Genomic DNA, 26,821 nt, shown 5'->3' on the forward strand with positions numbered 1-26,821 from the left:
TGTTAAAGCCCAGGAGGAAGAATGTGGTAAATCAGAAATGGCAGAAACCTGCAAGACTTCCTAGTTTTTGGTTCTAAAAGACTAAGTGCATGAAAACAAACAGAGTGCTGGCTCCAATCTAGAAAATGACTTCCTGCTGTTGCAAGATACATGAGTCCCATGGCAGTATTGTCTTGAGAATGTGGCACACCCAGTAGCTGGAATCTTAGTCCTTGGGCTCCCAGCCTTTTGAGATTCTTGAGTAGCAGGCTAGCATCATAGTGACAAACTTGAAAAGAATGCATCAACAGGGCTGATAAACATTTCATTCATAACCACTGTGGGCCAATGATGAAGAATGCAATGACCTTCCCACCACCAGCCACTTCAATTGACCCTAGAATCTCAGTGTAACACTGAGGAAGCCCCAAGATAAACTAACATGTTCCCACCAGTAGAGGGTTGGCCTCTACCCTGCTCTCTCTCTTTTTTAATCCCTTCTCTCTAACTCTTTCATAAGTTCTTTCTGCTTTTTCATCCCCATTGCAGAATTGTGCCCTACATCTTTTCATTGTTAGTGACGCAGCTGACTAAAGGAATCTCAGCTTCAAATTTTTAGGAGATAAATTTGATGGGACAGGAGACAGTTCTCAGAGTCTAGCACTTACGAGGTCTCATGTTTTTCTTCTCATTATAATCCTGAGTTCATACAAACGAAATACCAGCGATCTAGCTCTTTATCCTTTTTGACACGGCCCGAAGTGCCTGATTTAGCTGTCCATATTTACCTAAGGCTTTTACATAAGTTTCCATATTATATACAAGTAAAACCTTTGTGGCAGAAGATACACCTATGAAAATCACATAAAATCGCACATGCAAAAAACATATAAAGTAATCAACGATAACATATTATGCACAAGGAACACAGTGCTTTTTAAAATTTCTCTTCCTTTTCCAAATTTTCTTCTATTTAGTACTCTATGCCATGCCTTAACTTTATTTTTTTCTTCTTTCTTCTTCAAAACTAATTCCCAAACATATTTCCTCCTAGTTCCTTTCTTTAAAAGCTATTATATTTTCCTTGCAAAATTTCTGCAATGCATTATTCCAATAGGGTGATGTAATGATGGTTGATGTAAATTTCTGACCACTTTGCTCCTTCGTCTTCTCAGAACTCTTTACGATGCGCAGGAGGCCAAGGTAGACTTATTTGCTAAATCACTGCTTCATTAATCTCATTCCTTTACCCCAAATTTCAGCCCTTTAACAATTTTAAATGGATCCTGAGTTTTACACTTCCAACTGATTTGCATTTTTCTTGGTTGTGTGCTGTTGAACAGCTGCTGTTTTCTCCCCAGAAGTGGGTGGGGGATGGTTTCCATGGAGATGGTGATGACTCTGCTAGATGTGGACACCTCCAATATTCCCACTGCATTTGTAATTTCTAGCATCCATTCCATGTGGAGTGTCTAAGTAGTTTCATTTCCTTGTGGCAATAAACCTCTTGGAATTAGGACTCCAGAACTCTTTACTTGGCCCTGGTTTGTGACTACAAATTTATTTAATTGACATCTAGATGTATTTATTTATCATTAAGTCCTTAAATGGCTATGTGCTAAAGAAGGCAATTAAAACAGGTACAATGCCTTTTATAAGTAGGACACCTTGCTGTAGTGCTAAAGTCATAGTAGACATAGAACAAATGCTTATTGATTGATTTGTGGCACTATAAAGGAAACGTTTAAGTCTATTATGTTACTGCAGAAGGAAAAAAGAGACTAAATTAGAATCAGTTCAAAAGCAATATTACCAAATTCATTAGTTACATTCTATTTTAGTCATCTTTAGTGTTACAAAATGCTAATTTTAGAGATAATCTTGCCTAACCTCATCATGAAAAATAATTTAATAACTTAGACGATATAGCTGGCATTGTAGGGTAAGGTTGAGTCATGGGAGGGCAGATTGTTGCAACACTGATTGTTTAAAGAAGAAAAAAATTGTAGAAAGTAAAAAAAAAAAAATTGAGACCTATAATACAATCATTCATTTATTCTTTCCTTTGTTGATCCAACAAATGTTTATTGAGGACTACTATGTGCCAGCCACTGCCAAGCAGCACAAATAAAATTCTGAGCAAAATATATTCTTTTCCTTACAGAACTTAGAATCCAATGAGAATATAAATATTAAACTAATAAACTCAGAAATATATAATTACTAGCAGTAATACTATTTCTTCTAGAAAGGTACAGAGTGGTATAAAAGCACTGTGTAACAAGAAGATAGAATCTAGACTGAGGTACATGTGGCCAGAAGAAATCCAAAACTTGGGTAGGATTTAACTGGATATGGTCAAGGTAAAGTTTTAATCAGCATTAATGTTCTAAGCAGTGTTTAACAATGGCTAATACTTGTTGTTCAATTAGGATAATTGAGTCACATCTAAGTACTTTGCCATGAGCCTGGTTTTACTATTACTTCTATATATGAAGAAATGAAATGTAAAGAAGTTAAGACCAAGGTAAGAGAAAGGCAAGGCAAGGCCAGGATTGGGTCCCAGGCAGTCTGAAACCAGGGCACACACACACCTGATCATTACTATATATTTTCTTATGTGGTGAGCAGAGGCAATAATAGAAGTTTTTGTTCCAGTAATCCAGTGATTTTGTAAGACCACAAATATTAGATCTGGGTCTAATGCCCAAAATGTTATCGTATTAGTTAGGCATAAAATGGGCTGAATCTATTTATGACTGCAGACAGTGTACATACTAAAGACATCATGAGACTGGTGAAGGATGTGAAGGGCTCTCACTAGAAGTCTATGCAGAGTGTTGATCTCACACCACAATTTCCAAATGTCTTATGTCTTGCTCCCTTTCTGCCCTTCTTTAATAAGTGATGCAGACAGAATAATATATTTAGCTATAGTCCTCTATATGTAAGGACTGGCAATCAGAAATATGTAGCAATTTTATTTTTTGTCATTAAGGAAGTGATTCCTTAAGTCATCAAAAGCCAGAGAACACTAACAATTGTTTTGCTTAGTTTCGTTTTCCCCAGGAGTCAAGATGGTAGAATGGGATGTTGCAGTTTAAATTTGGGCTCACTCATGCTAGGAGTAAATAGTTTTTAAAATTTAATAGAAATAAGATATATAAATGAAATAGCTAAAATATATGTGGTAATTCCCTATCACATATAAACTGAGTTTTTGGTGCAAAATAAAATAAAGCAAACTAAAAATATGGAAGTTGGGTTTATTCAGGCACATAGAGATAGAATCATATTTACACAGATTTCACTGGAAAGAGTCAATTTGGAAAACTCACATCCTCCCATCTTTTTTTTTTTTTCTGTTCCCACAGTTGTTTTAGGCCATTATGTACTAAATATCTGGATGTTTCCCAACACTCCCCACTCATTTGGCCCAAGAATAGACATAGCCTAAAGTTGCTATTGGTCTCTTTTGAATACACTAATAGCTTAATTGTGTTTTAAAATGACTGCTAATGTCCAAAGCTTCCATAAGCGAGTTTTTAAAACCTAGAAAATAAATACAGGTCTACATTGTTGCAGGGAGAGATTCTCCTTCATAACACTGCTGGGTCAGTGGGCTGCTAAGAAGTCTAATCATTTATTGTTTGTAAAGAACTTTAAAAAACATTACAGACCAAAAGAAACAAATAATAACACCTATTTTAAAAAACATTCATTACTTTTGAATATCATGCCAAATATATAATTTGGTATGCTTTTATATTAAAAATATTGAGAAAGTAATTTAAATTGACATTTGGTAAACTGCTGACATCTTGCCTTTCATTTTGTACAACATAGATCTTTTACACATTATGCAGATTTTAAATAAGAACCTCATACTAACCTTGTAAAAAAGGCAAAATTAGTAATGTTAATTTATTGATTAGTGAAGAAATGAAGTTCAGAATAAGAGAATGAGTTCTATAAAGGAAGCAGCTACAAAGTTGGATGTCTTAGTGCTCTTCCTACCACAAAACAAAAAGTTACAACTCATTTGGAAAACTTTGTATTGTATCAATTCTTTACAAGTATCAACTTGAACACCATCAAGAATTATCTAGAATAAGGGATTCAATCTCCAGCTAATGTACCAAGTTAGTGAGAACCATGCCTTTTGGGTAACAAATAAATAAGCACAAAACTAATTATTTATATAACTTTGGTGGAACTCTGTTTTATTGGCTGTTAAGTGGTAGAAATCTAACACAAACTAACTTAGGCAGAAAGATAATTGACTTGCTACCATATCTAATTATTCCAAAGGATGGGACTGGTTTTGGTCTTGGTCGAGTTCATGGATTCACAGCGTGCCATTAGGACCCTCTGATCTTCTCGTGGTTCAGGCTTTGTATCTGGCTTTATTTTCAGGCTGGCTGTCTCTGTATAACAGCTAAGATAACTATTGACGAATCTAAGGCTTTCATTATCTTCTCAGCTTGCCATTCCAGAAGAAAGTAGCACATATTTGGAAGACTCAGAGGGGCCCAGTTTGGATCATGCGATTGCCCATGAGCCAATCAATGTGGCTAGGGAGATAGAGTGCTCTAATTGGACAGGTTTGGGATATGTGATGATTCCAGGAGCAAGGTTTAGTGGGGTTATCCCCACATGGTCTTAATGAGATTACTAAAGATTGCAGCAACCAAAGCTGCTCTACTTTTATCTTTTCAATTTGTTGAAACTCTTTAGATATTTTTGAAGAAAGGGTTCTATAGCCTCAAAAAATCATAAACGACTGCTGTAGTGTAGAATGTTGATTAAAGCCAAGGAAAATGGCCGGGCGCGGTGACTCACGCCTCTAATCCCAGCACTTTGGGAGGCCGAGGCAGTCGGATCATGAGGTCAGGAGATCGAGACCATCCTGGCTAACACGGTGAAACCCCATCTCTACTAAAAAAATACAAAAACTATCCGGGCGTGGTGGTGGGTGCCTGTAGTCCCAGCTACTGGGGAGGCTGAGGCAGGAGAATGGCGTGAACCTGGGAGGCGGAGCTTGCAGGGAGATTCCGTCTCAAAAAAACAAATAAAAAAGTAAAAAATAAAGCTAAGGAAAATGTAATCCTTCTGGTGACTGGATTATATTGGAGATTAGGATATGGAGTTGAACGACCTGGGCTTGATTTCTGGCTTTTCCACATAGTAACCATGTGCCTTTGTGCAGAAAACCTGAGCCTCAGTTTCTCCATTGGTTAAATGGCTTAAACATAAAGCCTATTATGTTTTAAACAACATGTGTAAAAGTGTTTTATAAAGGTTAGTTGTTGCTGCTCCAGTTGTTATTTATTTTATTTTTTTAATTTGCATATAAGTCCAGGTCCTGACAGAAAATAGATGGTACACTCAAAAGAAAAAACACCCTGAGACTAGCAACCATGAGAAACCACTATGGACTCCATGCCTGAAGAGGAAAAAGAAAGGAAGAGTTGCCAGAATTATATGAGAACTAGAAGTCTAGGAAGGGCTACAAGACAGAATCTGTAGCTTTATGGAGAGAAACATAGGCACTGGCAAACCACAACTGTGAAAAGGGATGAAGTGATGAAGACCTCTGCCTTTCCTTACCCTTTCCCTTGCGTCTCCTGCTGATGCTTTCCATTGCCCAAATACATCTGGAGTCTAGAGCTCAAGGACCCTGGTGGTGATGCACTCCTTCCTTATGGAGCTGCCTCCTGGGTCATAGAGCTCAGTAGGGAAGATGGAGAGAGGGCTGGAGGGAGAAATAAAGAACATTATGGGCTGAACGCGGTGGCTCCCAGCACTTTAAGAGGCAGGTGTGTGGATCACTTGAGGTCGGAAGTTCAAGAGCTGCCTGACCAACTTGATGAAACCCTGTCTCTACCAAAAATACAGAAAGTTAGTGAGGCATGGTGGCCGTGCCTGTAATCCCAGTTGCTTCGGAGGCTGAGACATGAGAATCGCTTGAACCCAGTAGGCGGAGGTTGCAGTGAGCTGAGATGGTGCCACTGCACTCCAGCCTGGGCGACCTTTCACCTTAATTAGTTTTATCTTATTTAAGAACATCAAGTGTTTCACTATTTCATTTTGTTTAGTTTTTAGCTTATTAAAATTTAATGATTGTTAAAACATTTAAATGTGGGCTTCATAAAAAATGTTGCTTGCGTTAATATTTTGTTTTATGATCTGTACACGTGGACTTACAGAGTACCCTAAACATCCTTCAGTGTCATATGAAATTCTGCCTTAGATTGCAAGGCCATCTCTTCATTTTGCTTGTGAAAACAATACACAGAAGCTATGTAATTTTTCTATAGCAGTATTTTCAGTTGTACTTTAAATTAAGTATTTCAAATAAGGATTTAATTTAGGTTTAATGAGGGAGTTATTATATGTTAATTAAATATAAACTGATTATTATGAATATCTATTGGGGCATAACAACCTTTTTTATTAAGATGAATATCTCTTAAACAGTTGAAGCTTAGTAAATATGTTACAAATAATTAGCTTTAAACTAACATTCAATAGAAAGAATACATTTAAATGTATTACCTTGAATATAATATGGTTATTACCTATTAAATATCAATAGATTATTGGGACTATGGTTATCGAGTTTCAACTCATACATCCTAATAAACTTCTAGTTGCACCTAAATAAACCACCGTAAGTCAGCTAGTATTTAATTAGCAGAAATATTTATAGCATCACATTTATATTAGCATATTTATAATGAAATAAATAGCATAATAACTATTTTATTAAATCTAAATTAAATCCTTGCCAGAGGCATTTAAAGAGCAATGAAACTACATTGGCTACGTGGTCTTTAATATTTAACTCATTACATGATTTTTAAACTTTACTAATATGTTAAACAATAAATTAATATACTATATATATTCTAGGGATATTGCACATAATATATTTAGGACTTAAAATATTTAGGTTAAACTGGACAAGAAAATCCTTGAGTTCTTTTATTTTGTGCCTAGAACTAGGCACGAATGTGGAACATGAGTAAAATATGTCATTATAATTGGCTATGTTTATTGTTGCTAAAGAGATTTAACCAACATAAGTGGCGGACAGGGTTGACACTGCGGCATGTGAGGTGGCCACAAAACCTTCTGTAAGCAGGAGTTTGAATGCCAAATTGCACCCATAAGAAGAGAAGCCCTAAGGAGGCCCTGTATATAGTTAGTTATATGTTTATAAAAATAGCCTTGCTTATCACTCCACAGATGAATCAGCAGTTGTCTTGCACAGTTAAAAATGGAGCATAATTTCCTTTCAAGAGTGAGGACTAAAATCCAAACTAATTTTATTTCAATATTGAAATGTCATAATTAAGTTTCTTTTCACACAAAGCAGCCGAGAATGCAAAGAAAGCATATGAGTCGAGATCCATCTCTTCTGAGGAGCCTAGTTAACTGTTCCCTCATCCTTGCTCCAGGTAGAGAGCTTATTTCAGTAAATCTGTTCATTTCATGTTCTACTGGGGGGAGAAAAACAAAACAAAACAAAAAAACCACATTTTACTCTGCAGACATTAATTTCTAGGAAATAATTCCTAGGAATTAATACTGTGAGGAAGCTGACAATGTGACACTAACTTGTGTATACATGTTTACATTGGCCAAGGAAATCAAGGAAAGGCTACTGCTAATAAGTGGGCCCAGAACGTAAGTGAAGAATTCCACAATCTCCTTAGTGCTAGTGAAATTCCCAGCTTCTTTTCCATAGATTGTTGTCAAGTGAAGGAGACATGGATGTTGACAATGGTAATGGTGGTTTACATTTATGGAGTGCTAGGCAGACTTGCTGTGTGCAAGGCAATGCTCTCATTGTCTCTATGTGGATTATTTTATTTAATGCTTGGATCTCCTTTGATATGATACTGAGGATATCTCTTAATTTCTCTCAGTGATCAGTGATAGAAATCAGTGGACATCAGGTGATTCTTTGCAAATCACTATGACTTTCCCAACTTTATCCAAGTTATTTTACATGGACAAAATGCAGAGAGGATGCACTAGGGCAAGTCTTGTACTAAAAATTTGCTGTTTTGATTGCTACTCTCACTTCTGTGGCTAACTAGCTGCGATTTCACCAGGTTCTTCATATATGAAATAAGAGGTTTAGACTTGAGGATCTCAAATCCCTTCTGGCACTAGGCTTTCATACTTGAGGAAATTAAGAATTTAGGGAATCACATATATTGCAAGAATTTGGAATATAAAATATGTTTATTTTAATGTTAGTCTAACAATACATTATTATTTTGATGGGAGCTGGTTATATTAGTCTTAATATTAAAACTTAATCTTTATGCATGTCTTGAAAGGAGAAATAAAGATGATAATTATTGAATCTGTACATCGACTGTCTCAGAGGGGTTTAATTACTTTCCATTCCATGAATACCAAAAGGAAAAACTTATAAAAAAAGTAGGCTATGTATTTTGAAGGAGGCTTAAATGTAGCAATTCTTCTACTCTATTTTTATATCATATTTCTTTCTAAGATATACTGATAGAATCTTTCAAAATTTAGCTCCTGTAGAAACAGAAGTTTTAATTGTTTGATTCAGCATTTTAGATAGTAAGATTTTCACTTAATTTTGCCCCTGATAATGATTTGCTAAACCTGGTTCTTTAAAAAGACAGGGAACCAATGGTGCTTTTCTAGGTAGTTAAACTACCTGGATCAAATTTTCTAATGTCAGGATTGGCTTCCTTAGATAGAAAGAAGGCAAAAGATGACAGTGAATATAAAGCCCTGAGATCCTCACTACCCAGAAGCTGGAAGTTTCCATTCCAGACTATAGGGCTAAGGAGATCAGTAGAGAAAGAGAGAGCTTAGTTGGGGTCTAATTGTGAAAAAGAGAATTCAGACTGGAATCAAAGTTTCTACTTTGAAATTTGATTTTTGTATTTGTATTTCTTTCCATATCTCTGTTGGATAACATCTTTAAGGGACTCTTTGAGTATTGCTGTATTTTGCATTCTGATTTCATCTAGTGGTATACAAATAATACCATCAATTTTGATATCTTATTTAGAAGTCAGATTAGGCAGCCACACATACATTAATAACACTAGTGCAGGGGCAGGTGCGGCGGCTCACGCCTGTAATCCCAGCACTTTGGGAGGCCGAGGTGGGCAGATCATGAGGTCAAGAGATTGAGACTATCCCGGCCAACATGGTGAAACCCCATCTCTACGAAAAATACAAAAATTAGCTGGGCATGGTGGCACGTGCCTGTAGTCACAGCTACTCAGGAGGCTGAGGCAGGAGAATTGCTTGAACCCAGGAGGTGGAGGTTGCAGTGAGCGGAGACTGTGCCACTGCACTCCAGCCTGGCGACACAGCAAGACTCCAACTCAAAAGAAAAAGAAAAAGTACTAGTGCTTCTCTTTGGCTGCTCCTTTTTCTAGTACAAATTAGATATGCTTTTCCAACATTACAAATCATGGATGAGATTGATTTTGCCATTTATATCCAATTTTAGGGCATGGTACTTTTTTTAAGTTTAGATGAGTTTTGCCAGAACCATTGAACAAAGAAATCTAAGGTATAATAATCAATTTTAAAATATATGATATGTGAATATAATGTTTCTACAGCTACCATTTTAGTTGTAAAAAACATCTAAAATTAACCTGCTGCTTTTAAGAAAATAAATTGCATGGCTTGGATCTCTTTGTAACTATTGTGGTTTAAATGTACATGCAATTTTTACATATGTTATTTTTCAAGGTGCACATCTGTTTTTGTTGATTGCATGGAATCTGCTGAAATATTCTTGAAAGTACAACTAGAAATAGGTGTAAAAACCACCTTTCCATTGAAATCCCAAAGAAAATAGGACATTGCATTTTTTTAGAGGTCAGTCAACGACTACATATTCATTTCAAGTGCAAAGCTCTGCTTCATCACAACAACTCATATTGCCTGTATCCCAAATATGTGATATTAAATGACTTGATCAAACAGCTTGTCTGGCAAAAAGCAGATAAACCTCTCTCTAAGTGGTGAAGATGAACCTACTTTGAAAACACATTTAGAAATCAACTCACAAGATCAACGTTATTCCAATGTAGCTTGAGTATAGGAAACAGATAAAGAGAGACTTGAGGAAGAGAGACAAGAAAGCTCTTGGAATGATTGAGAAGAAAATTAAAACGCCCAAAGTAAAGTACAATCTTATGTTACGTGACTTTGCCTTTGTTACAAAGGCCTTTTCTTAAAACTATTGCATCTAGATTTCTTTATTTTTTCTAACATGTTATTTCTAGGATGTGTGTGTGTGTATATATATATTTTATCCATAGCTTTTATATTTCTCCTGAGGCTACCAATTATTCTACACTTCCTTTTCTTTTCTGAAGTGAGAACACACTTTGATTAACCTCTCTTAACCCATTTAGATCTTGTCTCTTCTCTGTGTTACTATATTTAATTCTTATTGTCTCTACCTGGATTACAGACACTTTCCTCCATTTGCTATAAGCCAGCCCTTCTATTTTACATCTATGAATCATTCACATGCAAGGTTGAGAAGAGATTTATAAGATCTTAATGCAGTAATTCAAAAGGCATATTTCTATCAGACATCTGATTTTCAAAAGAATAACAAATAAGTTCCCTCCTTTTAAAATAAAATGATAAATGTAGGTTTAATCATGATTTTAAGCTCTCTGTTTCGTTGTCACTTTCACAATTACTTTAAAATTAGTTCAGTGGTCATTTGAGTTTAGAGAGTGGATTTGGGTATCTTATGTTTACATCAATATTTGACTTTAATTATACAACTTGCCAAATGTATAGGATTTGTTTATTTTTCAGAGATAAATGGGATCAGCCCCAGACTCAATTTCTCTGTATCTTTTTTTTTCTAATACATTTCAGCTGGATCCACTGACCTGGAATGCCTGGACTGAAGCAGGTAGAATATAAAGAGTTCAATACCCTTAATGTGGGGCTTAGAATTTAGCTACTCATCCAGACAGACCCAGGGTACAGTGATCCCTACAAAGATGCCATGCTCTCCCAATTCTTTGTGCTACTTCCCTGCAAATGGTTATTTGCCAGTTTCTCATTTTCTCCATACTTACTGCCAGACTTAGCCAAAATCACCATCTCTCCACCTATTGTCACATTTTTTTCCATATATTTATCGTCCAGTTCATTATTTGAGTGTTTAGCTTTGAGATTGCTAGGACCCGGTCTGCCTTTGTTTTCCACTGTATCCTCAATGCCTAGAACAACGCTACCACTTCAGACTTCTAACTCCATCACTCTGCCTTTTCTAGACATTCATTCCTTAAATGCTGAGGCTGTATCTGGACAAACATATTTACTCTCCCTTCTTTCTGCAACATTCCTCATCCTCTTTCAATTCTTTTTTTATTTAATTAAAAAACTTTATTTTTAAAAATTTTAAAATAATTTCAAATTATATTTTAGATTCAGGGATACATATGCAGGTTTGTTACATGGATAAACTGCATGATGCTAAAGTTTGGGGTACCATTAATCCTGTCACCCAGGTAGTAAGGATAGTATATAATAATTATTTTTTCAACCCTTCTTCTCCCTTTTTCCTCCCACCTCAATTAGTTCCCAGTGTCTATGGTTGCAATCGTTATGTACATGAGGCAATGCAGTATTTGGTTTTTGTTCTTGCATTAATTCACTTAGGATAATGGCCTCCAGCTGCATCCATGTTGCTGCAAAGGGCATAGCTTCATTCTTTTTTATGACTGCATAGTGTTCCGTGGTATATATGTACCACATTTTCTTTACACAGTCCACCATTGATGGGACCCTAGGTTGATTCCATGTCTTTGCTATTGTGAATAGTAAGGAAATGAGCATCCAAGTGCATATATCTTTTTGGTATAATCATCTATTTTCCTGTGGGTATTCCCAGTAATGGAATTGCTGGGTCTAATGGTAGTTCTGTTTTAAGTTATTTGAGAAATCACCAAACTGCTTCCCACGGTGGCTGAACTAGTTTGCATTCCCACCAACAGTGTATAAGCATTCCATTTGCTCCTCAGCCTTGCCAGCATCTGTTGTTCTTTGACTTTCTAATTATAGCCATTCTGACTGGTGTGAGATAGTATCTCACTGTGGTTTTCATTTGCATTTCTCAGATAATTCCTAGCAAAATTAAGACAAAATATCTTGAATGATTTCCTTAAATATATTTTCCAGGTTGTTTGCTTTTTCTTCTTCTCTCTCAGAAATGCGAATAATTTATACATTTGGTTGCACTTTACATAATCCCATGTTTCTCGAAGACTTTGCTCATTTTTAAAATTCTTTAATCTTTATTTTTGTCTGACTGGGTTAGTTTGTAAAACTGGTCTTCAAGCTGTGAAATCTTTTCTTTTGTTTTTTTGGCTTGAGCTTGTCTATCGATAACATTTTCAATTGTATTTTGATATTCCTTAAGTGAGTTTATTTTAATTCCATAAACTATAAATTTTTTAATGATGGTTATCTCTTTCTTCATTTCTTGGATTGCTTTAGAAGTTTCTTTGTGTCAATTTTCAACCTTGTCTTGGATCTTGTTGAGCTTCCTTGCAGTCCGTTCTTTGAATTCTTTATCTGTCATTTCTGAGTTTCACTTTGGTTAGTGATCATTGTTAGAAAACTAATGTGAACCATTGGTAGTGTCACTACATTCAGATTTTTCATGGTACTATAATTCTTGTGCTGGTTTATTTTCATCTGAATAAACTGGCACTTCTAATTTTTATAATTATTTTCATGTGGGTGGGATTTTTTTCTTTCTTTTCTACATATATATATTTTATTTTCCTTTCCTTTCTGCCTTCCTAGGAATTGTGACTATAGAGGATGTTGAGTAGGGTCTTTTGACTTTGCCTTTATAGCCTTAGGCACCTCTGTTGGCAGGTTTTATATTATGCTGTGCAATTCAACCCACAAGGCAGTAGATGGAAGTTATGGGAAAGAGCTGGCTGTGGCCCAGACAGCTGGGTATATACTGGATTCTTGTTTACTGGGAGAAGCTCTCTGTTGCCTCAGGCAATAGGCTGATCTATAAAGTGCACAGTGGTCTCAGCTCCCTTCTCAGCCCTGGTAAAGTTGTGGGAGAAGATGGGCCAGGATGAACCAAGCAGGCTTATCTACCTGTTCCCTGATGGCAGACCTATTGATCTTCTTCCTCAAACATCAGCGTTGAGGAAGAATCAAGTGGGTGGCCACCAAGCATGCAGAGGTGTGCCAAGGCATGGAGCTGGGAAACCTCCTTGGCCCCAAGTTCTCTGCACAGGGGGAGGGTGAAGAGAGTGGGTGCTCCAGATGTCTGGAGATCTGTCTGAGCATGAAATAGGGAGGAACCCACTTCATCACAATCTGCACTAGAAGGATATAGTGGCTTAGGCTGCTAATCCACATGCGAAGGTGTCCAACTCTCTAGAGATATACCTAAGTGTGGGGCAGCCAGGACCTCGCTTCACCGCAGTCTCTGTACAGGAAGAGTGGGCAGGCCCAGGCTGCTGATTTAGGTGAGCAAATGCTTCAAATGCCTGAAAATCTGCCTGGGCTGGAGCAGAGAGGGGCCTCATATACTCAGATCTCTGCACAGTAAGGGTGGAGCAACTCAGGCTGCTGTTCTATGTGAGCAGGTGCTTTGAATGCCTGGAGATCTGATCTGCCTTGGTGCAGAACAGAGGTGGTCCCCCTGTACCATGATTTATGCCCAGGAAGGGTGGGGTGGGTCAGTCTGCTGGCAGGTGAGTGAGTGCTCTGAGTGCCTGGAGATCTGCCTGGATGGATCAGGCAATGGGTTGCCTGGGGATCTGCCTGGGGCCCCACCTGCACCAAGATCTCTGCACAGAAAGGGTCACGCTGCTCAGGATGTCAGTCTATGCCTCTGGGTGCTCTGAATGCCTGGAGATTAATGCCTGGAGTTCTGCCTGGGGCCGGAGCAGAGGGTGCACTACTGTACCATGATCTCAGGAGAGCACCCGTAGACTCATTCCAGGTCACCAAGCTGTCCCTGACTGCAAGCCTTGTCACCCAGGAGAAATCACAGCTGTAGCAGCTCTCCTCCCACCTCAGGCCTGTGAAAAAGGGAGAGTACAATTCCATCACCTACTACTGTGGCATTTACCACCACTCTGGCTGTGGAGCCCCCTGCTCCACTCCAGAGCAAATGCTCCAGCCTCCGGCCCTAGACCTTCCTGTGGCCTGCATGGCCACAGTACCAGGTCACCAAAGAATGACTGACTTTGTAGGTGCTTGGATTAAATATGGCATCCTGTTTTCGTCCTAGGTCTGAGAAAATGCCTGCAACTTATCCCAGTGTCTTTCTCTTTCAGTGACCTCAAGCCTCTTCCCAAGTTAGCTCCCTAACTTAGAGAAGCAAAGTGTTTTATCTTTGCTTGGGATGCTAGGGTCCCTACTGGAAAGGTGAGTCACAAAAGGAGGCTCCCCTTTTTCCTCGTGTACTGGGGCTTTGCTCCTATCAGCTAGCCACCATCATGAGGGCTGTTTGCTCGTATTTTCCTGCCTGGGATCTGGGGTGTCCTTCACAATTCTGGAGGATTCCAATTTTCCATCTTGAATTAAAGCGAACAGAGCTGATCTTTATGAACTGTCTTGCTATTTCCAAGTGGCTGAGGCACACTGAAAGCCTCTAATCCACCATCTGGGAAGGAAACAAACAAACAAAAAAACCAACTTAAACGTTTGTCAACTTTTACTCATCTTTCAGGTTTTAGCTTGGAGCTAACTTTCATCATCTCATGACTGAGTTAGACATTCTTTCAATGTTTACCCATAGCAACCCTACGCTTCTGTATTGCAATGTTTAGTGTATTTCTCTTTTTCACACTTCAGTGTAAGTTTCTGGAGGGCAGAAACCATGTCAGGTCCACTGGTGTGTCCCCAGGCCCTAGTAGATGCTCAGTAAATATCTGTGGAGGGTGGAATAAATGTTCTCAGATTTACCTTCATCCTATACATCACATTGGACCAGTGCATTGAGCCAAGTTTTTGCCTTAATCCTCTTTCCTAGGTTTGGACTATTCTGCCTTGTTCTTAACAGTATTCTTTTTGGGGACCTCGTGTCATACCCAGAAGAATAATTAGGCACCTGCTCCCTGAGGGTAGATCTTTAGGATAAGAAAAAATATGTCTGCGTGACCTTTGTGCTCTATCCACGTAATCGGAGATCCCTGTGCCGAAGTTTTCTTGTAATTGCACGTAAGGCTTATATGATTCTTATTCTAACTAAGCAAAATTTGTGGCTGTAACTCAACCATCCTGGAAGCTTGCTCAAGTACTAGATAACAACATTTAACAGAAAGGAATCTTTACAGGTGATATGACTCAATAGCTCTCAAACATGGTTGTGCAGTCGAATCAGCTGGGGAATGTTTGAAACGTACAAATTCTGGTTCTTCCACAGACCCACAGAATAAAAATTTTCCAAGGGTAGGGCCGAGGAATTTTGAGTTTTAAAAATATTCCCTGGTGATTTTTATATACAGCCAGTTTAGAAACCACGGTTTTTTTTTTTAATTTTCATATTCTGTTTCAAGGATCAGTACAATGAATCCTGAACTTGGAAAATATATTTCTTCATAAAGTAGGGAAAAGAGATAGTTTAAAACAGTATCAAATAACTGCCTAATTTTTCTTCAGAAAGTGAGATAAAAAGTATGTATCAGACAAAATTAATGATGATATTCTAGAAAATGAACCAAAATTCAAATAGCTAAGGTAAAAGGCTACTTTCATTTTTTTTTCTAAAGACAATTACCAAAGTTTCCAGTGCCTTCCCCATTTCACCTCGTTTGTTTATTATATCACTAACAATTATTTATTCAGGGCCTGTTACTGAGCAGACATTATTCTAGGTGTTAAGAATGTAAGAATGAGCAAAATTTGATCAAGTCTTGTACTTACACGGCTTAATTTTTAGTAAGAACAAAAGACCAATAAATCAATAAACATATAAATGATGAGTTTATCTTAAAATATTAAGTTCTATAAAGAAGAATAAGGCAAAATGAAAGCATAGAGTATTGCTGTTTTATCTAGGGTGATCAGAGAAGGCATCTCTAAGAAGGTGGCAGATGAGCAGAGGGACCCGAACAAAGTGCTTAAGAGAGAGTTGCAGGCCACTTAGAGAAAAGTAAGCTCTAAAGGACTGAGGCAGCAGTGCATGCTTTTATGAGAGAGCAACAATTTGGTCAGTCATTTACCCCTTCTGAACCTCAATTTTCTTATTTGTCAAACGGAATGATAATTCTGCTTTGCCTAGTTTTAAGAGGAAGGCTGTGTATTGAATTAAGCAATCAATGTACATAAATATTCTTAGTAAAAGCAAAAGCACCATGCAAAGGGAATCTGTCAAGTATTAATATGCTAATGCCGATCAATGTCGCTTTCACCCAGAATAAAAAGCACAATTTTAGATACACCAGAGCTGAAAGGAACCTCAGGAAACCTACTTACCTGCTCTAGGCTTTGAAGTTGAAGCGACGTTATTAACCTACTTTTCAGGTCATAAAATTTCATCCCAGAAAAATTAAGTGACTTGCCCAAGGTGACATGGCTAGTTAGGACTGGAAGGGATCTGGTAACTTGGTTTTCTGCTTTGTGAGGTAGGGTGCTTTATACTAGAGACTTTTTTGGGGTACCATCTTATTCAGTCATTTTGGCTCTCAAAGTCCCTCTAATGTGTTTAAACATCAAGCACTGGTGAAGAAAATGCAATCCAGTCTCTCCGCAGGCACTGTCCAGGCTCAGAAGTGGGGACAGAGAGCCTTCCGGTCCCATTGCTAAGATCATAAATATCTCTCTTGCTGAATTAGCCTGGGGGCTGCAATCCTTGACTCCAGAAAATGACTTCTGCAGCTGGGCCTTCCATCACTGTTAAGTGATATACATCATCATCTGTTATGGATTGGCCAACGTAAAAAAGCTCCTGTGTGCACAAATATTGAGTCATTTTACTGAGAAATGGGACTTGAGAAATTGCCCAATGTCATCCTTACTGTAGCCCCTCCCCAAGAAATGGATACACATGACTTGGTCTGAGAATGCTATGGTTTAGAAAAACTCCATTGGCCTGGAACTAAGAGAGCTGACTTCATGATTTTGGGGTGATTAAATCTGTCAGCGAATTCCTTGCAGGAAAAAGTCCTAGAGGGCAGATACCATATTGGTTTATCCTGCATAGAGCCCTGGTGAGCAAATTACATAGAAAGGATAGCATAATAATGCAATCTGTTTGTGGAAGAACTGGTCAATTTGGAAAGCTGCCTTAACTCATGCTTAACTCAACACTTGTGGACCTTTGAGTAAATTATTGCCTCACTGGGAGCAGCTGGCTCATTAGGCTGCCACATATACAGCAACGATGGCTTTATATTTCCATTCCTAGGAATGTTTGATAGATATTAATGGACTCTATTAAAGACTAGAGGCAGGAAGGATGTCTATTAGAAAGATAGCCCTCCATTTTATTTTACTGGCTGTGCTTTCAATCTCTCAACTCTCAGGGGGAAAAGACATATTCACTGAATGCCTACTATGTGTCAGTTGCTTTGCATAGGATTTTACTCATCGACTCTTACTGACAATCTCCATTTTCTAAATTAGGGTACTAGTGCTGTCTGTATTAATCAGGATTCTTCAGATAAACAGAAACAACAGGAGGTCGATATCTATATCTATATCTATATCATCTATCTATATTGGTATCTAGCTATTATAAGGAATTGGCTCTTGTGAGTATGGAGCTTAACAAGTTCCAAGATGTGCAGTGCAGAGAACCAAGAGAGCCCATGGTGTAGCTCTAGTCTGAGTCTGAAAGCTGGAGTATCAGGAGAGTCAATAGCTTAAGTTCCAGTTTAAAGGTGGGCAGGCTGGAGACCCAAGAAGAGTCCATGTTTTAGTCTGAGCCTGAAGGCTGGAAAACACCAATGTCTCAGCTCAGCTGCCAGGCGGAAGGAGTGTTCCCTCCTACTCAGCCTTTTTTTTCTCTCTTATTCAGGTTTTCAATTGATTGCAGTGAGGCCCACCCATATTAGGGAGGGCAATCTGCTGTACTCAGTCTACTGATTCAGATGTTAATCTCATCCAGAAACACCCTGACAGACACACCCAGAATAATGTTTGACTAAATGTCTAGGCATCTCATAGCCTAGTAAAATTGACACATAAAATTAACCATTACAGACTCAGAGAAAAAAGGAACTTGCTCAATGTCACACAGATCTGGGTGAACATATTTCTGTGCCTCAAAGCTTGAATCTTTTCCTTGTACCTCACTGCCCCTAACTCCTTCCTAACTTGTCTCTCTGTGTGGAACAGTATGTTTTAATAATGTGACTTGTTTTCTAACTACTTCAGGAGCTACCCCTACAAGTTTATCTTACTTTTCTCCAACATTAAAATTCCAACTCATTTAAACTCATGTCATTTTCAATGATGTATTTATGATCGATTGTATATATGTGACTATAACTTATATTGTATCAACATCCTACAGCAACTCCTATCCTGCTTCTGTACCTGTCCTCTACTCATTACTCGAATGTTTTTAATTTCCTACCAAATGCTGGAAATTGTGCTGAATACTAATAACATAGAAGTAATACAAATACTAGTCATAGTTATTATGTATTGGGTATTACTGTGTGCCAGACATGTTTTAACTATTTATACATATTAGTTCATGATGGTCCTTACAGAGCTACCATTCTGCCCTTTGTTCCAGGAGACTAACCAGCATGGGCTACATCAAAAAGGCTGCCATCTACTTTCTGCTGGGTAGGGGCACCAGAGAGACTTGTCAGAAACTAGAAGGAAGGTAGAGTGCGAAATCTGAGTGTTAATTCCCTGGCTTCATCAAAGGACACTGGTCTTCACAAGGAAACAGACTACATGATTCTCCTTTTGGGCTTCAGTAAAAACCCCCTCCTTTCATCCCTTAGTCTAGGGATGGTAAGAGGTCAGCAGCTAAGAATTCTAGGTTCTTTGTGGTTTTCCCGTATACATGTCTTTGATGATAGCCCCTTTGGAAATAAATTCTCCTAGACTTTTTTTTAGGGTGATTGGGTCATTGTTTTTTCTCCTGGAACCCTGAGTCCTCAAATCAACCCTATCTGAAATGTGCCATTATTGCTACATTTTATAATAGAGGAAGACAGATGGCTTATATAATTTGATGAAGATCACATGTTTTGTAAGAAGAGCTGGGATTGGAACTGTAGCAGTCTAGCTTTTCAGATCATGCTCTTAATCACCACAATAAGTATCAATAAGTGTCAATAATCACTATAATAAGTGGCATTGTAGCATAATGACACTCTACTTAGAGCAATAGCTTAGTTCAAGTCATCTTTTCCTATGAAACTTTCCATTTATTTGACTATTACTGTTTCATAGAACCTACCCCTCAAGTTTATTGAGGGTCATACTTAAATTTTCTATGCTTATGCTCTTTTTTAATACTCACAGAAAGAGTGTACCTATCTAGGGGGCAGAGACTACAGGTTCAGTTTTTTAACCCACGGCAAGTAGTCCTATCCTGAGAACATGGTACAAATTTAATAAATGTTTGCTGATTTATTTAAAAGTTTACTTGCACTTTGTAAGTAGCTCAACAAGGAGTATCTTCTTGAATGTGTCAGGAATATGGAAAGAATTAGGCTGCCATAGAGTGGAAAATCTTGGGTCTGGCAGCAACTCCAACTATTCTTTCTTCTTAGCTGTGTGACCTTGGATGAGTCACTTAACTTCTGTGTATCAACATTATCTCCATGAGAGTAGTTACCATGTTTGTGCCCCATGTATCTTGTGTGAACCTTGGAATCTATTAGACATTTGAAAAATATGTGTTAAATAGATAAATGAATGTGTATTTCAAAAATAAACTTTACTTTTAGAAGAGTTTTAGGTGTACAGAAGATAGTACAAAACATTCTCGTATATCCTATACCCAGTTTTCCCTGTTATTAACATCTTGCATTAACATGGTACATTTGTTACAATTAATGAATCAATATGTTATTGGTTTATTATTTTGTTAAATCATACTTCATTTCAATTTTCTTAGCTTTTACCTAATGTCCTTTTTCTGTTCTACATTCCTATCCAGGATACCACATTACTTCAGTTGTCATGTCTCGGGCTTTCTTGGCTCTTGGTGGTCTTGATAGTTTTATGTATTCTGGTCAGGGTTTTGTGGGCTGCCCCTCTTTTGGGATTTGTCTGTTGTTTTGTCATTATTATACTAGGGTTGTAGATTTCTTGGAGGGAGAAAACAGAGGTGAAGTTCTGTTAGATGTGAGTTCTAAATTTTCTCTTCAAAGAATCAATATGTTAGTGTGTTCAATTCTTTGCCTTCTACTTTTAAACTTAACTTCCTCATAGAACAACCTTTTTCAGTTACCTACTCCACCCTGACTCATTCCGATTACCTGCTCTATCGTAACCATTTTTCCCGCCAAACCACTCACCCCATCACTCTCTTTAAATTAGCCAGTCGGAATTAGTTTAACCTGTGTGGTCTAACCCTAGCCAATAGGGGAATGACACAGCAGCAGGGGCCACCTGCATCAGGGATAAGAACCCCTTCTCCTCCCTTGTCCAAGTGTGCGCTCACCATTGCTTCATCTGTGAGGGCGCACCCTTCTATAGAAGTAAATTGTCTTGCTGAGGATTAAAAAGAAAATTTTATATTCAAGTGCTATTTCTTTTGTGGCACCAAAACTTTATTTATAACAGTTCATTCTCATCACATTCTATCAGGGGTATATACTATCCTCCTAACTTAATGCTGTTGTCTCTCTGTTGCTGAGGTAATGCTTGTTAGATTCCTCCACTGTACAGTTTTCCCACTTTTCATACTGTGGAATAAGGTCACTATGTTTAGCCGACACTTAAGGAGTGGTGAGTTATGCCTCACCTTCCTGAGGGTGAAGTATTTACATCAATTATTTGGAATTCTCCTGCATGGGAGGTCTATCTCTTTTAACCCATTTACTTGATCATTTATTTTAACCAGTATGGACTCATAGATATTTATTTCATTCTATGGGGTATAATCCCATACTACTTTATTTTGTTGTTCAAATTGTTCCAGGTTTGACCATTGGAAGCTCTTTCAGTTGGCTCTTCTGTCACGTTAATATACCCCATCATTGTGTTTTCGTTTGCTCTGTGTGTGTGTGTGTGTGTGTTTGTGTTTTGTAAAGAACTTCTTTACTTTTCTTCCACTACAAGATGCTCCAGAGTCACGTGGTACATCTCCCATCCTAGCCTTGGAATCAGCCATTTCTTCAAGGAACGTTGGTTCCTTTTATTGGAGAATAGAATTAGAAATAAAGATCTGGATACAAGATACACTCAATAAGTTTGTCTTTAATGAGGGGAAAGGAAGAGGAAATGTTTCCCAAACAAGGACCTGTTGCTAATAAAAATAACAAAATGACTTGGGGTGCATCACAGGCACTGTCCATTTGGATAACATGTAAAAGGTGTTTATGTCTTTACAACTTTCTTCTAATTCTTCTGGTTCAAGGAGAAAACTTCAGTTTGATCCTGGTAATCTCAAGCTTCAGAATCCCATTTCTAACAGTGTGAAGAAACCTCAGGCTCCATGCCTCTGGCAAGCAAAAATATCGAGCTAGAATTTAGCAATATCATTTTGTTTCATTAGTAATATTGTTTTGTTTCAATGTATTCATTTGTATTATCACCAACAATTTATGGCAAATTCAACTAATTTTCCACTACAATAGCAATACATACTTTTTCCCTTAAAATATATTAAGTAAAAACTGTAAGTCAGTTTATAGGAAAAAGGTATTAGTGGTTGGTGCAACATACAGAAAGTGGCGAGTGAATGATTGAGTTTGGAAAACATTGGAGAGTCAGGCACAGTGGCTCACACCTATAATCCCAGCATTTTGGGTGGCTGAGGCTAGAGAATCACTTGGACCCAGGAGTTCAAGTTCAGCATTGGCAACACGAGGACACTCCTGTTTCTACAAAAAATTTAAAAATTAGCATGGGGTGGTGGCTTGTGCCTGTGGTCCCAGCTACTCAGGAGGCTGAGGTGGAAGGACCACTTGAGCCCAGGAGGTCAAGGCTGCAGTGAGCTGTGATTGTGCCACTGCACTCCAGCATGAGTGACAGAGTAAGACCCTGTCTCAAACAAACAAACAAACAAACAAACAACTGGAGAGAGTAATCTCAAAAATCTCTTGGATCTCTAGAATTTGATATTCTATGTCAACCAGCATCTATTATCTCACACCTGTGGCTGTGTACAATATTTGGGATAGAAAATATTTTGAAATCTGAAGATCAGAGAGAAAGACGTCCTTGTTGAGAGCACTAAAATCTTTACAGTTATTTTCTTGTAGCTATTCTCAGCTCCAAAACAGATCTAAGAGCCAGGCGTTGGCAGAGAGGTGAGAAATGCCGCGTAGTGCCTCAAGAGAGCTGTGGCGTTGGGATCACAGAACTACAAACCAAGGGGAAGGTTGATCCTAATAGCATCAATGGATAGCTTCAAAATATTCATAAAAATTAAAATATAAAGCAAATAATTGTGACAAGTGTATTTTCTAATTAAGATGAATGGGACATGGTTCTTATGCATTTTAATCTGTTAAATAAACAGCATATTAATAAGGCTTAATGATATCACCACATACTTAAAGTGACTTTCTAAAATAAAGTTTATTTTGATTTAACATATGCTTTTTTTTGTATGTTTTTCTAGCACTTTTACAAGCACCATACATAAATAACATCTTGAAATAAATCTCTTGGATGTGATCCCCATCTTGATAGAAAATTTTTCCTTTTAATTTATTGGATAATTCAGGATATGTAAAATAATTTTTTATTTTTGTGATATGAGTTCTTTCAGCCCTTCCATCTGAATATTGGAGAAATGACCTTCTTATCTTCGGTAGTGTTTCTTTGCAATTCTATTTGTTCTTACCCATTCCACATTTAGATGGTCAACATATACTTCTTATTCCATCTCAGAAACAGCTCCCTAGTCTGTCCCCACCTGCCCTTTACATCTATGGAGAATAGCTGCAGATTCTTTGACCCTTCCTCATCAAGAGTTTGGGTTAATTTCTTCTCCCTTTGCATTTAGGTTGGCTTGTGACCCCATTTTTCACCAACAGAATATAATGGACACTATTACCTTCAGAGGACTGATGATTTCTACCTTGATCTCTTGAAGCCCCGAGCATCAATAAGTCTGACCACTACTCACCCTGCTGGAGGAACCACATGGAGAGACTCTGAGACTATAGGGAGAGGGAGAGAAGCTCAGCTGAATCTAACCTTTAGGCCATTTCTGCTAAGAAATCTATCAAGTGAATGAAGCCACTCATTTACTCCAAACTAGCCCTGTGTGAACACCTGAGAATCATGAGCATAAGAAATTTTTAAGCCGCTGTTTCAGGGAATATGTATATAATAGATAACCAAGATAATGGATTTTTCAAAATAATGTTTGCCCTTCCCCATAAGAGATTTATAGCTCCCTACTCTCCTGAAGTCCGATTTTGCCACCACTTGATTTCTGGCATTCTTCCCTTTGGGGGGATTATACTTCCTTATCTCATTGACATCAGACTTGACCATATGATTCATTTTGGCCAATAAAATGTGAGCAGAAATGAAATGCCACCATGGCACAGAAGTTTTAGGAGCCATCATGTTGTTCTGTCCCCTACCTTTGCCCTCTACTGAGGGAATAAGAATGCCCCAAATGAGGGATATTCATTTGGCCTGGCTACTAGAATGTGGAAGGCAAGGAATGGAGGTGCAGCAGACTTACAGCTAACATGTAATGCAGGGAGAAATATTTCTTTGTTGAAAGCCACTGAGATTTTATTAGGGTCTTCTACAGAGCCACCAGGGTCATCATCCTAAAAAATAAATTCTGTTATTCACCTACATAAAAGACACCACATCCGTGTGGTTTCTTACTATTTTGTTCTATCTTACCTCTTCAGTCTCACCATGCATGTACCTCACAATTCAGCAGGGCTTGTCCTGATTCTTTACTTTTGGATGTGTGTGGTCCACTCTACTTGGCACATACTTTTCAGTTTCTCCACCTGCAAAGCTGATACTTTGAGACTCACTTTCTATGCCATTTACTTTGTGAAGCTTTTTCTATTTTTCCTGGACAAGATTAGTTCCTCCAATTTCAGTGTTTCCATAGCAATGATGATGAAGCAGCACAGGAGGAGGTTAGTGAAGAGGATGGTGGTAACACAGTCCTCTTTATGCACCAGGAATTGTCTTAAGTAGTTTGAATTTCAATTTATGTAATCCTTGTAATAACCCCCGAAGGCAATTCTAGCATTTCCATTTTATAACACAGCAGACAAGCACTGAAATGTTAGGTAATTCACTCAATATCAAACAGTTATTTATTACTGAAGCCAGAATTTGAACTCAGGTGGTCTAGCTTCTGAGTCAGTGCTCTTTATTGCCATACTTCACTGTATTTACAGCTCACATTTTTAAGGTGGCATTTATAAGCTGTAATAAAGTCGTCTGTTTTCTTGTTTACCCCGGTAGACCGTGAGTTTCTGCAGGGCAGTGACCATGTTAGTTGTGTTTATACTCTTGCATATAACCCAAAGTCAGGCATATAGACATTCAATAAATAACTTTCAATAACTAAGTAAGGGTTTGAATTTAAATCCTGAAACTTTAAGTCCAGTTTTTTATTTTCTCTCTATCACATTAGTCACATTCATTTTATGTGGCTTTTCGTCTTACTATTATAAATGAGTTCTGGAAATGCATCGGCTCTATTAGTTGAAATAGTAGTGGAGACATTTATTGAAGAAGACTACTATTTCATTTCAATTATTTCCTTTAATGTTACAATAATTATGATTCAAAAAGGAATGCTAATTTCATGAGATCTTGTTGTGCATGTTAAAATGTAGTCTAATCTCATAGCATCTTCTTCAAGGTCTCACATTTCTTTTCTGGAATGTTCCCCACTCTTCTATCCCAAATTATGTTTTCTATTATAAATGATCTGTAATTTTTTGGTTCAAAGTTTTTACTAACTACATTGGTTGAAAGGCTCTTCTTTTTCATTAATATTCCCTTTCTATCACTGAGGGCTTACTGATCCTTCTCTTTCCTTAGTGACACATTTCTATGGAAGTACAAACTATCTTGATACCAATGCCACTCACGACCACTATAACTGTGATCATAATCATGATCATCATCCTTGTCCTCATTCAAATGTCAGGTGGGGTTGGTAACCTTGCCCATGTTATCTCAGATGATTAGGTTCAGACCTGAATCCAAAGTAAATTTAACACCTATCCTAAGATTTTCATGCTCTAAGTCATTTCACGTTCTCCTGTAGTTTTGAGGTCCTACTTTCTCTGAATTATTTCAGTTTAGAGAGTATCTTGTTTCTGGACTTCATTATCTTTTGGCTATAATGCATGGACCGAAACACAGAATTCAGCCATTTTCCACAATTTCTGCTGTGAAAACCTGCTCACATCAGGATTCCATATGTGAAGCAGGCTTTCTAACATACAGGTGTGAAGGACTTGTATTCAAGTCAAAGTGAGAAGTACAAATTTAGTTGAGGCTTCTGATGTTCATCATGCTGTTTGGCCATACTTCTTTCATTATTTTTCTCCCCTCCTCTGCTTGACCCTCCCCATAGGTGACATTTTTTGTTCAAGTCTGACTTAGCTAACAAAATTCTAACGACCTTTTTTTGTTGTCTTGGTTTCTCCAAACATATGCCTGCCTCACCCTCCTCCAACAGGCAGCCTCTCAGGGTATGTTTTTCTGACCACATATGTCTTTGCTTCTACCTAACAGACATTTATGTGCCATTATGCTTTTTGTTTTGGTTTCCATAATAACTGTTTTCTCCTATAGATGATATTTTATAGATCTTTAAAGTACTTTGACTTTTTTTTGATATTTTTCTCATAATAGACCTGTCAGATAGGAGAGGACCAGATACATTAAACTTGTTAACTAAATAACATAGTTGAAGCATGTAGTCCCATGTTTGAAACATGAAGTTTATATTAGATAAGGCTTAAATTCTATTCTGTGTGTGTGTGTGTGTGTGTGCGTGTATGAGTCTTAAAGTTGAAAGAGAACTCAGGGACCATTTAATATTAGAAAGATAAGATATTACAATTTCTGCTTTACAGATGCTTTACATGATGTCCAGAGAGTTTCAGTGATTTGCTAAAAGTGAGGAGAAATGGTGACATGTAGTCACAGAATCCACTCTCTTCTACTTCTTGGACAGTGTTCTTCCTCATTTCTCTAGGAAGTGTATGCTTTAGTGAAAATTTTTGAAAAGTGGGGAATAAGACAGTAGGGGAGCAGCTGGGCATGCATGTGGTTCTCAGATATAGGTCACTGGGGGAGAGGATGCATTGCAAAAGGTTTAGAAATAATACCAAGGAAATGAATTGTTCACTTAAGTGTAGATTCAGCATAGGGAGAGTCTGTGAGAATGAAGATTTGTAGAGATGTATTATTAATGTTTTTATTCAACTTGCTACTCCTTGCATCATTGCTAGCATCTTTGGATGGTTAAAGTTTCATCAGAGAGAAAATTATGCTCTCATATTAAGATATTAGACCTTATAAAGACACACAGCTACTTGTTTCACCAAGAGGTATAATCACCTCCAACAACATATATTTATACATTGATTTTTAAAAAATTTCTGTAAAGGACTAGGTCAACAAGTTTAGTTTATCAAAGGGAATTTCATTTCCTCAT

General features: G+C 37.7%; 1 long non-coding RNA gene across 8 annotated transcripts in view; it reads left to right on the plus strand.

Annotated features, from left to right (window-relative positions):
* Positions 1-26,821, plus strand: part of LOC105374524 (uncharacterized) — a 507,306-nt gene that overhangs the window by 24,401 nt on the left and 456,084 nt on the right. The window contains exon 4 of one of the 8 annotated variants that reach the window (XR_925469.2): positions 18,758-19,083. The exons of the other annotated variants lie outside the window; for them this stretch is intronic. This is a non-coding gene — a long non-coding RNA (uncharacterized LOC105374524). Of the gene's footprint in view, positions 1-18,757; positions 19,084-26,821 lie in introns of those variants that run through there. 8 annotated transcript variants of the gene reach the window in all.

Source organism: Homo sapiens, chromosome 4, assembly GCF_000001405.40.
Source record: "Homo sapiens chromosome 4, GRCh38.p14 Primary Assembly".
Taxonomy (NCBI): Eukaryota; Metazoa; Chordata; class Mammalia; order Primates; family Hominidae; genus Homo; species Homo sapiens.